Below are 14,298 nucleotides of genomic sequence, written 5' to 3'. Positions count from 1 at the left end.
GCTGTGTAGAAGCTCTTTAGTTTAATTAGATCCCATTTGTCAATTTTGGCTTTTGTTGCCATTGCTTTTGGTGTTTTAGACATGAAGTCCTTGCCCATGCCTATGTCCTGAATGGTAATACCTAGGTTTTCTTCTAGGGTTTTTATGGTTTTAGGTCTAACGTTTAAGTCTTTAATCCATCTTGAATTAATTTTTGTATAAGGTGTAAGGAAGGGATCCGGTTTCAGCTTCCTACATATAGCTAGCCAGTTTTCCCAGCACCATTTATTAAATAGGGAATCCTTTCCCCATTGCTTGTGTTTCTCAGGTTTGTCAACGATCAGGTAGTTGTAGATATGCGGCGTTATTTCTGAGGGCTCTGTTCTGTTCCATTGATCTATATCTCTGTTTTGGTACCAGTACCATGCTGTTTTGGTTACTGTAGCCTTGTAGTATAGTTTGAAGTCAGGTAGCGTGATGCCTCCAGCTTTGTTCTTTTGGCTTAGGATTGACTTGGCGATGCGGGCTCTTTTTTGGTTCCATATGAACTTTAAAGTAGATTTTTCCAATTCTGTGAAGAAAGTCACTGGTAGCTTGATGGGGATGGCATTGAATCTATAAAGTACGTTGGGCAGTGTGGCCATTTTCATGATATTGATTCTTCCTACCCATGAGCATGGAATGTTCTTCCATTTGTTTGTATCCTCTTTTATTTCCTTGAGCAGTGGTTTGTAGTTCTCCTTGAAGAGGTCCTTCACATCCCTTGTAAGTTGGATTCCTAGGTATTTTGTTCTCTTTGAAGCAATTGTGAATGGGAGTTCACTCATGATTTGGCTGTTTGTCTGTTATTAGTGTGTAAGAATGCTTGTGATTTTTGTACATTGATTTTGTATCCTGAGACTTTGCTGAAGTTGCTTATCAGCTTAAGGAGATTTTGGGCTGAGACAATGGGGTTTTCTAGATATACAATCATGTCGTCTGCAAACAGGGACAATTTGACTTCCTCTTTTCCTAATTGAATACCCTTTATTTCCTTCTCCTGCCTAATTGCCCTGGCCAGAACTTCCAACACTATGTTGAATAGGAGTGGTGAGAGAGGGCATCCCTGTCCTGCTGGTTTTCAAAGGGAATGCTTCAAGTTTTTGCCCATTCACTGTGATATTGGCTGTGGGTTTGTCATAGATAGCTCTTATTATTTTGAGATACGTCCCATCAATACCTAATTTATTGAGAGTTTTTAGCATGAAGCGTTGTTGAATTTTGTCAAAGGCCTTATCTGCATCTATTGAGATAATCATGTGGTTTTTGTCTTTGGTTCTGTTTATGTGCTGGATTACATTTATTGATTTGCGTATATTGAACCAGCCTTGCATCCCAGGGATGAAGCCCACTTGATCATGGTGGATAACGTTTTTGATGTGCTGCTGGATTTTGTTTGCCAGTATTTTATTGAGGATTTTTGCATCAATGTTCATCAAGGATATTGGTGTAAAATTCTCTTTTTTGGTTGTGTCTCTGCCCGGCTTTGGTATCAGAATGATGCTGGCCTCATAAAATGAGTTAGGGAGGATTCCCTCTTTTTCTATTGATTGTAATAGTTTCAGAAGGAATGGTACCAGTTCCTCCTTGTACCTCTGGTAGAATTCGGCTGTGAATCCATCTGGTCCTGGACTCTTTTTGGTTGGTAAGCTATTGATTTTCGCCACAATTTCAGAGCCTGTTATTGGTCTATTCAGAGATTCAACTTCTTCCTGGTTTAGTCTTGGGAGGGAGTATGTGTCGAGGAATTTATCCATTTCTTCTAGATTTTCTAGTTTATTTGCATAGAGGTGTTTATAGTATTCTCTGATGGTAGTTTGTATTTCTGTGGGATCGGTGGTGATGTACCCTTTATCATTTTTTACTGCATCTATTTGATTCTTCTCTCTTCTTTATTAGTCTTGCTAGCGGTCTATCAATTTTGTTGATCCTTTCAGAAAACCAGCTCCTGGATTCATTAATTTTTTGAAGGGTCTTTTGTGTCTCTATTTCCTTCAGTTCTGCTCTGGTTTTAGTTATTTCTTGCCTTCTGGTAGCTTTTGAATGTGTTTGCTCTTGCTTTTCTAGTTCTTTTAATTGTGATGTCAGGGTGTCAATTTTGGATCTTTGCTGCTTTCTCTTGTGGGCATTTAGTGCTATAAATTTCCCTCTACACACTGCTTTGAATGTGTCCCAGAGATTCTGGTATATTGTGTCTTTGTTCTCGTTGGTTTCAAAGAACATCTTTATTTCTGCCTTCATTTTGTTATGTACCCAGTAGTCATTCTGGAGCAGGTTGTTCAGTTTCCATGTAGATGAGCGGTTTTGAGTGAGTTTCTTAATCCTGAGTTCTAGTTTGATTGCACTGTGGTCTGAGAGACAGTTTGTTATGATTTCTGATCTTTTACATTTGCTGAGGAGAGCTTTATTTCCAACTATGTGGTCGATTTTGGAACAGGTGTGGTGTGGTGCTGAGAAAAATGTATATTCTGTTGATTTGGGGTGGAAAGTTCTGTAGATTTCTATTAGGTCTGCTTGGTGCAGAGCTGAGTTCAATTCCTGGGTATCCTTGTTAACTTTCTGTCTTGTTGATCTGTCTAATGTTGACAGTGGGGTGTTAAATTCTCCCATTATTATTGTGTGGGAGTCTTAAGTCTCTTTGTAGGTCACTCAGGACTTGTTTTATGAATCTGGGTGCTCCTGTATTGGGTGCATATATATTTAGGATAGTTAGCTCCTCTTGTTGAATTGATCCCTTTACCATTATGTAATGGCCTTCTTTGTCTCTTTTGATCTTTGTTGGTTTAAAGTCTGTTTTATCAGAGACTAGGATTGCAACCCCTGCCTTTTTTTGTTTTCCATTTGCTTGGTAGATCTTCCTCCATCCTTTTATTTTGAGCCTATGTGTGTCTCTGCTTGTGAGATTTGTTTCCTGAATACAGCACACTGATGGGTCTTGACTCTTTATCCAATTAGCCAGTCTATGTCTTTTAATTGGAGCATTTAGTCCATTTACATTTAAAGTTAATATTGTTATGTGTGAGTTTGATCCTGTCATTATGATGTTAGCTGGTTATTTTGCTTGTTAGTTGATGCAGTTTCTTCCTAGCCTCGATGGTCTTTACAATTTGGCATGATTTTGCAGCGGCTGGTACCGGTTGTTCCTTTCCATGTTTAGTGCTTCCTTCAGGAGCTCTTTTCGGGCAGGCCTGGTGGTGACAAAATCTCTCAGCGTTTGCTTGTCTGTAAAGGATTTTATTTCTCCTTCACTTATGAAGCTTAGTTTGGCTGGATATGAAATTCTGGGTTGAAAATTCTTTTCTTTAAGAATGTTGAATATTGGCTCCCACTCTCTTCTGGCTTGTAGAGTTTCTGCTGAGAGATCAGCTGTTAGTCTGATGGGCTTCCCTTTGTGGGTAACCCGACCTTTCTCTCTGGCTGCCCTTAACATTTTTTCCTTCATTTCAACTTTGGTGAATCTGACAATTATGTGTCTTGGAGTTGCTCTTCTCGAGAGTATCTTTGTGGCATTCTCTGTATTTCTTTAATCTGAATGTTGGCCTGCCTTGCTAGATTGGGGAAGTTCTCCTGGATAATATCCTGCAGAGTGTTTTCCAACTTGGTTCCATTGTCCTCGTCACTTTCAGGTACACAAATCAGACGTAGGTTTGGTCTTTTCACATGGTGCCATATTTCTTGGAGGCTTTGTTCGTTTCTTGTTATTCTTTTTTCTCTAAGCTTCCCTTCTTGCTTCATTTCATTCACTTCATCTTCCGTCACTGATACCCTTTCTTCCAGTTGATCGCATCGGCTCCTGAGGCTTCTGTATTCTTCACGTAGTTCTCAAGTCTTGGCTTTCAGCTCCATCAGCTGCTTTAAGCACTTCTCTGTATTGGTTATTCTAGTTATGCATTCGTCTAAATTTTTTTCAAAGTTTTCAGCTTCTTCGCCTTTGGTTTGAATTTCCTCCTGTAGCTCATAGTAGTTTGATGGTCTGAAGCCTTCTTCTCTCAACTCGTCAAAGTCATTCTCTGTCCAGCTTTGTTCCATTGCTGGTGAGGAGCTGTGTTCCTTTGGAGGAGGAGAGGCGCTCTGCTTTTTAGAGTTTCCAGTTTTTCTGGTCTGTTTTTTCCCCATCTTTGTGGTTTTATCTACTTTTGGTCTTTGATGATGGTGATGTACAGATGGGTTTTTGGTGTGGATGTCTTTTCTGTTAACACACAGACCCTCAGCTAAGAGTCCTTTCTGTTAACAAACAGACCCTCTGTTAACAGAGACCCTCAGCTGCAGGTCTGTTGGAGTTTGCTAGAGGTCCACTCCAGACCCTGTTTGCCTGGGTACCAGTAGCGGTGGCTGCAGAACAGCAGATTTTCTTGAACCACGAATGCTGCTGTCTGATGGTTCCTCTGGAAGTTTTGTCTCAGAGGAGTACCTGGCCATGTGAGGTGTCAGTCTGCCCCTACTGGGCGGTGCCTCCCAGTTAGGCTGCTCAGGGGTCAGGGGTCAAGAACCCACTTAAGGAGGCAGTCTGCCTGTTCTCAGATCTCCAGGTGCGTGCTGAGAGAACCACTGCTCTCTTCAAAGCTGTCGGACAGGGACATTTAAGTCTGCAGAGGTTACTGCTGTCTTTTTGTTTGTCTGTGCCGTGTCCCCAGAGGTGGAGCCTACAGAGGCAGGCAGGCCTCTTTGAGCTGTGGTGGGCTCCACCCAGTTCGAGCTTCCCGGCTGCTTTGTTTTCCTAAGCTAGCCTGGGCAATGGCGGGCGCCCCTCCCCCAGCCTCGCTGCCACCTTGCAGTTTGATCTTAGACTGCTGTGCTAGCAATGAAGGAGGCTCCGTGGGCGTAGGACTCTCCAAGCGGGATGTAATCTCCTGGTGTGCCGTTTTTTAAACCCGTCGGAAAAGCGCAGTATTGGGGTGGGAGTGACCCGATTTTCCGGGTGCTGTCTGTCACCCCTTTCTTTGACTAGGAAAGAGAACTCCCTGACCCTTTGCACTTCCCGAGGGAGGCAGTGCCTCGTCCTGCTTCTGCTCGCGCATGGTGCACTGCACCCACTGTCTTGCGCCCACTGTCTGGCACTCCCTAGTGAGATGAACCCGGTACCTCAGATGGAAATGCAGAAATCACCCGTCTTCTGCGTCGCTCACCCTGGGAGCTGTAGACCGGAGCTGTTCCTATTCGGCCATCTTGGCTCCAATCCCCTATTTTGTTACTCTTTTCAAAAAACCAGCTCCTGGGTTCATTGATTTTTTTGAAGGGTTTTTCGTGTCTCTATCTCCTTCAGTTCTGCTCTGATCTTAGTTATTTCTTGTCTTCTGCTAGCTTTTGAATGTTTGTTCTTGCTTCTGTAGTTCTTTTAATTGTGATGTTAGGGTGTCAATTTTAGTTCTTTCTGCTTTCTCATGTGGGCATTTCGTTATAAATTTCCCTTGAAACACTGCTTTGGCTGTGTCCCAGAGATTCTGGTACATTGTGTCTTTGTTCTCAATAACTTAAGTTTCAAAAAACTTATTTATTTCTGCCTTAATTTTGTTATTTACTCAGTAGTCATTCAGGAGAAGGTTGTTCAGTTTCTATGTAGTTGTGCAGTTTTGAGTGAGTTTCTTAATCCTGAGTTCTAATTTGATTGCACTGTGGTTTGAGAGATTTTATTGAATTCCATCCTTTTGCATTTGCTGAAGAGTGTTTTACTTCAAATTTTGTGATCAGTTTTAAAAGAAGTGTGATGTGGTGCTGAGAGGAATGTATGTTTTGTTAATTTGGGGTGGAGAGTTGTGTAGATGTCTATTAGGTCTGCTTGGTCCAGAGCTGAGTTCAACTCCTGAATATCCTTGTTAATTTTGTGTCTCGTTGATCTGTCTAATATTGACAGTGGGGGTGTTACAGTCTCCCACTATTATTGTGTGGGAGTCTTAAGTCTCTTTGTAGGTCTCTGAGAACTTGCTTTATGAATCTGGTTGCTTCTGTATTGGGTGCATATACATTTAGGATTGTTAGCTCTCCTTGTTGCATTGATCCGTTTACCATTATGTAATGCCCTTCTTTGTCTCTTTTGATCTTTGTTGGTTTAAAGTCTGTTTTATCAGATACTGGTATTGCAAACCATGCTTTTTTTTTTTTTTGCTTTCCATTTGCTTGGTAAATATTCCTCCATCCCTTTATTTCGAGCCTGTGTGTTTCTTTGCACGTGAGATGGATCTCCTGAATACAGCATAGCAGTGGGTCTTCACTGTTTATCCAATTTGCCAGTCTGTGTCTTTTAATTGGGGGATTTAGCTCGTTTACATTTATGTGTAAATTTGATCCTGTCATTATGATGCTAGCTGGTTATTTTGTTAGTTGATGCAGTTTCTTCATAGTGTTGATGGTCTTTACATTTTCGTATGTTTTTGCAGTGGCTGGTACTGGTTTTTCCTTTGCATATTTCACGCGTCCTTCAGGAGCTCTTGTAAGGCAGGCCTGGTGGTGACAAGATCTATCAGGATTTGCTTGTCTGTAAAGGATTTTATTTCTCCTTCACTCCTGAAGGTTAGTTTGGCGGGATAGGAAATTCTAGTTTGAAAATTCTTTTCTTTAAGAATATTAAATATTGGCCCCCACTCTCTTCTGGCTTGTAGGGTTTCTGCAGAGAGATCTGCTGTTAGTCTGATGGGCTTCCCTTTGTGGGTAACCCAACCTTTGTCTCTGGCTGCCCTTAACATTTTTTCCTTCATTTCAACCTTGATGAATCTGACCATTATGTGTCTTGTGGTTGCTGTTCTGGAGGAGTATCTTTGTGGTGTTCTCTGTATTTCCTGAATTGGAATGTTGGAGAAGCTGTCCTGGATAACATCCTGAAGAGTGTTTTTTAACTTGGTTCCACTCTCCCCATCACTTTCAGGCACACCAATCAAACATAGGTTTGGTCTTTTCACATAGTCTGATATTTCTTGGAGGCTTTGTTCATTCCTTCTCATTCTTTTTTCTCTAATCTTGTCTTCACACTTTATTTCATTAAGTTGATCTTAAATCTCTGATATCCTTTCTTCCGCTTGATTGATTCGGCAATTGATACTTGTGTATGCTTCACAAAGTTCTCGTGCTGTGTTTTTCAGCTTCATCAGGTCATTTATGTTCTTCTATAACCTGGTTATTTTAGTTAGCAATTCCTCTAACTTTTTTTCAAGGTTCTTAGCTTCCTTGCATTGGGTTAGAACATGCTCCTTTAGCTCAGAGGAGTTTGTTATTACCCACTTTCTGAAGCCTACTTCTGTCAGTTTGTCAAACTCATTCTCTGTCCAGTTTTGTTCCCTTGCTGGCGAGGAGTTGTGATCCGTTGGAGAAAAGGTGTTCTGGTTTTTGGAATTTTCCTCCTTTTTGTGCGAGTTTTTCCTCATCGTCGTGGATTTATCTACGTTTGGTCTTTGATATTGTTGACTTTCATATGGGGTTTTGGTGTGGATGTCCTTTTTGTTGATGTTGATGCTATTGCTTTCTGTTTGTTAGTTTTCCGTCTAACAGACCCCTCTGCTGCAGGTCTGCTGGATTTTGCTGGAGGTCCACTCCAGACCTTGTTTGCCTGGGTATCACCAGTGGAGGTTGCAGAACAGCAAAGATTTTGCTGCCTGTTCCTTTCTCTGGAAGCTTCGTCCCAGAGGGCCATCCTCCAGATGCCAGCTGGAGCTCTCCTGTATGAGTTGTCTTTTGACCCCTGCTTGAGGAGGCAGTCTGTCCCTTAGCAGAGCTCGAGTGTTGTGGTGGGAGATCTGCTGCTCTTTTCAGAGCCAGCAGGCAGGAACATTTAAGTCTGCTGAAGCTGTGCCCACAGCCGCCCCTTTCCCCACGTGCTCTGTCCCAGGGAGATGGGAGTTTTATCTATAAGCCTCTGACTTTGGCTGCTGCTGTTCTTTCAGAGGTGCCCTGCCCAGAGAGGAGGAATCTGGTGAGGCAGTCTGGCTACAGAGGCTTTGCTGAGCTGCGGTGAGCTCTGCCCAGTTCCAGCTTCCTCGTGGCATTGTATACACTGTGAGGGGTAAACCACGTACTCAAGCCTCAGTAATGGTGGATGTCCCTTCCCCCACCAAGCTTGAGTGCCCCAGGTCTACTTCAGACTGCTGTGCTGGCAGCAAGAATTTCAAGCCAGTGGATCTTAGCTTGCTGGGCTTCTTGGGGTGGGATCCACTGAGATAGACCACTTGGCGCCCTGGCATCAGCTCCCTTTCTAGGGGAGTGAATAGTTTTGTCTTGCTGGTGTTGCAGGCGCCACTGGGGTATTAAAAAAAAAACTCCTGTAGCTAGCTCAATGTCTGCCCAAATGACCACCCAGTTTTGTGCTTGAAACCCAGGGCCCTGGTGAAATAGGCACCAGAGGGAATCTCCTGATCTGCGGGTTGTGAAGACCGTGGGAAAAGCATATCTGGGCCAGAGTGCACCACTCCTCATGGCACAGTCCCTCATGGCTTCCCTTGGCTAGGGGAGGGAGCTCCCCAACCCCTTGCGCTTCCTGAGTGAGGTGATAGCCCACCCTGCTTTGGCTCGCCCTCTGTGGGCTGCACCCACTATCTAACCAGTCCCAATGAGGTGAGCCGGTACCTTGGTTGGAAATGCAGAAATCACCTGCCTTCTGCCTTGATCTCGCTGGGAGCTGCAGACTGGAGCTGTTCCTGTTTGGCCATCTTGCCAGCCACCAAGAATGTTAGCTATTTTTATTTTTAAAAATATTTTTTAGAGAATTCATCTCCCTGCAAAATACTTACTGAACTTTGATTTTAATTTTGGCCATATTATTTCTTGGCATTTGTGGTGCTGTATATAAAGTATTTAATTCCATTGGTAATATTTAGAAATAATTTATTTTTTTCAATTTGGGGAAAAAATTCAAAATAAGGGTTTTTAGTGATTTAATGGACAAAATAAGCAGTTGGAGAAAAAACTATTAATCGCATAGCTTACTGATATAATAGTTTTGATGTCTACCCCCTAAGTTCGTTGAAATTGCTAAGAGAAGTGTTTCTATGTCCAACTTGTCACATTTTTGATCTTTCTTTTCCCCATCTGGAATGTAAAAATAATGTTTAATGTATCTACCTCAAATGGCTAGCTAGTAAAATCGTATAATGGCTTTTAGGGTTTAAAATTCACTTTTTCTGTAATTACCAAGTAACTTCTAGTTCCAGGGATGTTTTGTTTTTGGCTATTTTCTTATTAAGAATACATTTTTCTGTTCAAAATGCAATTAGGATTTTATTTGCAGTTGTGCATAAGAGAAATGGACAATGCCATTGGAAAAAACTTCAAATAAAAGATGCCACTGTGAAAATATTTTATAACTCTTTTTTTGGCAGGGGAGTTAACCTTATCTTGGGTATACAAAGGAATAGGTAATTACGGATTTTAAATACACATGTAGAAACAGACAGAGAAAGGAGAAACAGAGATATACTATTGTACTGATTTTAAAACTAGCTTCTTGGGAGTTTAATTTTCTGATTTCTGGATTCTGTCACCTAAACTTACAGGTAAGTAAAGTATACCAGAAGAGAACAGACATTATACCGTCAATATCCTCAAAGGTTATTTTTCGGGTATTAGGCTCTAATTCCTACTTCACACCTTTTTTTTCTTTTTGAGACGGAGTCTAGCTCTGTCACCAGGCTGGAGTGCAGTGGCGCGATCTCGGCCCACTGCAACCTCTGCCTCCCGGGTTCAAGTGATTCTCCTGCCTCTGTCTCCCAAATAGCTGGGACTATGGGCGCGTGCCACTACGCCCAGCTAATTTTTGTATTTTTAGAAGAGACAAGGTTTCACCTTATTGGCCAGGATGGTCTCTATCTCTTGACCTCGTGATCTGCGCACCTCAGCCTCCCAGAGTGCTGGGATTACAGGCCTGAGCCACTGCACCTGGCCCACTTTTTAAAAAAATATGTGTAGAAGGTTAGAACAGTTGAATCCAGCACAGTGGAACTGAGCATGAATTCATCCAAGTGTAAACCTTGACTGAAGTGACAAAATGGGATGGGTTTTCCTTAAGTATTAGGTATAAAATACATGTTTAAGGAAGTGGCTAGTTTCTTTTCATCTTAGGGTGTATCATATTCTTAAATTATTGGTGTGGCCAGTTATTTCAGATTGAAAACGTTTGTAGTATGTGACTTTACATTTTGTGTACTTGAAACAAATCCTTCTTATTAAACTGTTTTGATTTTGTATCAAAAGTATTTAGTAAGCAGTTGTATCTTTTAAACATACCACATTGTTTCATGAGAAACTCCTTTGTTTAAAAACTGATTTTTAAAGTCAGTGATGGCATTACTTATTATTTAGTGAAACTATATTTAAGCTAATTCCTATAAAGGGATTAATATATGAAATGCTGAATTCAGAGATTGGCTAAAAGTTAAATGTGGAAAAACATCATTTGTACCTTCTGTTTTAATTCTTTAAAAATGTGTAAAACCTTTTCATACTCTGCCTAATTAGGTCTCCAAAGTTTTTAATAATATTTAAAGGTAATCTCACTAAATTACAAATAGCACTGCATTTAACTTGATTGCTGCAGCAAACATGAAATTAAGATTTTCATACTAAAATATTATAGACATTTTGTATAGGTCCAATGTTAGCTATATCATGTACATTAATATTTATTAAAGTTGTGTGTACATACATCTTGTACTCATTACTATTGCATACGTGTAGTATATCAAGCATTATAATAAAAAAATTATGATTTTTAAAAAACCATTCTTTCTCAGGTGTATAGTCTACTGTCAATAAAAAAGAATCCTGTAAACGCTGTAGGAAGAGATGTGAAGCAGGGAGAGTCGACTACTGTTTACTGGAGTCTACTTTGTAGCTAAAATGAAACAGCTTAAAATTTCTAAATTGAGTGTATTTTAAGTAAAAGATTATCTGCTATTGGTAGAGTACCATATAACTTATTCAACTTTCATTTTTTTCACAGAGCTCCTTAATAAGCATTTATAGTCAGTTTTTGGCAGCAATAGAATCACTAAAGGCATTCTGGGATGTTATGGATGAAATCGATGAGAAGACCTGGGTACTTGAGCCAGAAAAACCTCCACGGAGTGCAACAGCACGCAGAATTGCATTAGGTAGGGACAAGGAGGATTAAGGGTTTGTTTTTAGGTGTTTTATTTTGTATTATGAAAATAAATCTAACAATGACAGTTGGACTCAGACTTCTTTATATGAAGTCAACTATTAAAATTTTCTAGTATAAACTTTTTTTTGGCTACACATTTAAATGTAAATATTTTAGGTGAAAAGGAGAAGTACTGAGGTGTTTCATTATAAAAGGTGATGATCCAATGGAGGTAACATTCAGAAGTAGAGTTTAATTAGCTGCTAATTAGCACAGGAATCGTGGAACAGGTAACTCAAAATTTACATTACTTAGAACAAGAAAAAAGTCAGAATAATGCAGTCTTCATTTGTGAAGCTTACAATCTTCTCAGATTAGTGTGCTCAGATCTGGGAATATTTTCTGTTAGAAATACAGAGGAAGATAAAAGAACTTGCAGTAGACCATGCCACTGAAGAGTAAACAGAAAGCACAGAGAAAGAATTTATAGTTTTAAGTATTTTCTTCACAAGTATATGAAATTTATGAATGAGATATGGTATAATCATAAATACCTGTGCAATGTTATCATGTTCTCGACTATAAAATGGCTGTGTATTTTCATTATAAGCAAGCAAAACATGTGACTTCAGCCTTTCTCAAGATTTTAGATAAACTATATTTAAGCTCACATTAAATACCATAGCTAGTTTTAAGATACCCATTTCTTTTTTTCTAAATAGATATGTTGTTCAAGGGTATTTTGAAATTCTGATGTGAATCACATCCAAGTTAGTGAGCAATTTTTATACTTTATACCTAGGTATAATATAGATTATCTGGGGGAAGAATGTCACATACGTGGTATTACGAGAAGAAAGTATAGTTTACAGCAGTTCTACAAATAGTATTGGTACTTTCCTGGTTTCAAAAAGTCTAACTGTGTTTAATTTGGAACAATTAACCAAATTATGGTATATTTGTGAACAAGTAGATACTAAGAATGAAAATATTTTCTTCAAAGAAATGTAGTAAATCATTATTTTCGTGGCCCCATTAAAGTAATTATCAGGTTATGATTAAATATACTTACTATATTTCTCATTCAGCATACATAGTCTAGTTTTTAATTCATTCCCTATTTACCTTTTAGCTTCTTTTTTCTCCTCCAGGCATGATTTGCTTTCTTAAGACCAAGTTTTGAACAAGTGATTGGAAAAATTAGTTAATATGCCCATATTACGTGAAAGTACTGTCTGGAGCCATTACCAGATGACAGTGTTGAGGGCTAATAAGAAATTTCTGTTCATAGTAAATAATGTGTTACCAAATGAGATTATAACTTTTTGTATTTTTATTTGTCTCATTGAATGGCTAGTCATTTTTTTCTGTTAATGACCTCTTTTTGCCAGATATGCAATAACTGCATTTATGTTGATGCCAGCCTTAGTGAAAGGCTTATTCTACAGTGTATGGAATTTATCAAGACATTTTTACGATGAAAATGAAATCCAAATTGATCTTAAGCAGTTACACTATGTACCTTCAAAAAATAGAAGTAAAATTTCTGAAACTTACGCTGTAGTCCAGTACAGTTAAAATGTATAAAAGAACCTAGTGCCAATTTTCTTAGGTCTTGCGAAATTAGGTTACTTATTGTTTTGGTTATTAATGAACAATTGCCAATGTGAATGAAATCTTTTGTTAAATTATAAGGGAAAGTTTCACATGCAGCAAAATAATACAGAAAATGTTTTTATAAATTTTTATAAAACTTGAATCTTTAATGTTTGTTTTTACCATTTACTGTATTGTTGGTCTTTTTACATTTGGCCATAGTTCTATGAAATGTAAACTTTTTCAGGAAAGCCATGAAAAATAATTTAGATAGTTATTTCTTAAACATGTGACTTGTGATAGTTTTGATATTAAAGACCTTTATCACTCCACAGAACATTTTTATTTAAACTTTAATACAGTTGACCAGAATTGCAATCTAATTAAATATATCAATTTGTTGACTGGCTGAAATTTAAGATCCTTTCAATGATAATCATATCAAAATTACTTCTTTTGGTTCAATTATATTTACCATTACATAAAACTACAAAACATTTGGTTAATCTTTCCGTGGGTATACAGTGAAATAGGTAGCCAGACCAACACCTCTTTATTTTTTATTGGGTTGTTTGATGAGCTGTTCTACTTCTAAAAGATTTAATCTTGTTTCATTCTAGGTAATAATGTTTCCATAAATATAGAGGTAGACCCCAGGCATCCTACTATGCTTCCTGAGTGCTTCTTTCTTGGAGCTGACCATGGTATGACATCTGAGATTTAAACGTTTTTTAATAGAGTCATAAAATCCTTGCCTAGCATTGTTAAATTATTAGACAATATTAGTATATTAATGGTAGTTTTTATTTTTTGTCTGAGACGGAGTTTTGCTCTTGTTGCCCAGTATGTAGTGTAATGGCGCGATCTCGGTTCACCGCAATAATGATAGTTATTTTAAATGACAATGTCTCAGCATTCTGAACTGTATAATTTTGTTTTTTAACATAATACATATAATTTTGATTTTCTAATCAAGTAGTTAAGAAACATTCTGTATCAAATGTGGCTTTAGAAACCAAGAGTAGAGCATGCAATTATTAAATTTTTTTTTTTTAATCTGAAGTGGTAAAACCCCTGGGAATTAAGCTGAGCAGGAACATACATTTGTGGTAGGTACCTTGGCAATATAATTTTTACTTTTTGGTGATTTTACAAAGTTCACAGCATAATTTTTTTCCCCATGCTTTCAGGGATCCAGAAAATAGTGTGTTACAAAATTTGAAAGATGTTTTAGAAATTGATTTTCCAGCTCGTGCTATCCTGGAAAAATCTGTAAGTTTTATCAGTGTTTTGATATTCCAGACAGTATTGCATAATGAAGTTTAAATGCTTCTCTCAGTGAAAAATGAGGCTGAAAAAGGAGGGAATTAGAAAAATATTATAACACAGACTTCTGATCTGCATCAAAAAACTTGTTTACCTTTGATTGGTTGTTAAGTACAACTGTCTCTTGGAACAGGGGGATTGATTTCAGGGCTGCCCATGGATACAAAAATCCACAGACATTAAAGTTCCACAGTTACCCTGCAGGACCCATATATAGAAGAAGTCGGCCCTCTGTATACAGAGATTTCACATAAACACAGGTTCTGCATCTTGTCAGTACTGTATTTTTGATCTGC

At 38.8% G+C, this 14,298-nt stretch overlaps 1 protein-coding gene across 19 annotated transcripts in view, besides 1 other annotated feature; it reads left to right on the top strand.

The window, feature by feature from the left end:
• The window catches only part of FANCL (FA complementation group L), an 82,138-nt gene that overhangs the window by 64,567 nt on the left and 3,273 nt on the right, over positions 1–14,298 (top strand). For 16 of the 19 annotated variants that reach the window (NR_156742.2, XM_047444856.1, XM_047444853.1 and 13 more), the window contains 4 exons: positions 10,940–11,090; positions 13,297–13,380; positions 13,740–13,785; positions 13,867–13,948. Coding sequence is in view for 16 of the 19 variants with exons in the window: in XM_047444856.1 (XP_047300812.1) it covers positions 10,940–11,090; positions 13,297–13,380; positions 13,740–13,785; positions 13,867–13,948 (363 nt within the window). In the remaining 3 variants the exon portion in view is untranslated. The remainder of the gene's footprint in view (positions 1–10,939; positions 11,091–13,296; positions 13,381–13,739; positions 13,786–13,866; positions 13,949–14,298) is intronic. The other 3 variants (NR_164659.2, XR_007077528.1, XM_047444852.1) reach the window with 1 other exon arrangement.
• Positions 12,654–12,854: a silencer, noted in NCBI's record as "peak3710 fragment used in MPRA reporter construct". NCBI's record gives its function as "represses an SCP1 promoter by STARR-seq MPRAs in K562 erythroleukemia cells {active_cell/tissue: K562}" and the evidence as "EXISTENCE:reporter gene assay evidence [ECO:0000049][PMID:32103011]".

This window comes from Homo sapiens, chromosome 2 (genome assembly GCF_000001405.40).
Source record: "Homo sapiens chromosome 2, GRCh38.p14 Primary Assembly".
Taxonomy (NCBI): domain Eukaryota; kingdom Metazoa; phylum Chordata; class Mammalia; order Primates; family Hominidae; genus Homo; species Homo sapiens.
Note: the sequence above shows the minus strand (reverse complement) of the source record. Positions and strands in the feature narration are given on the sequence as shown.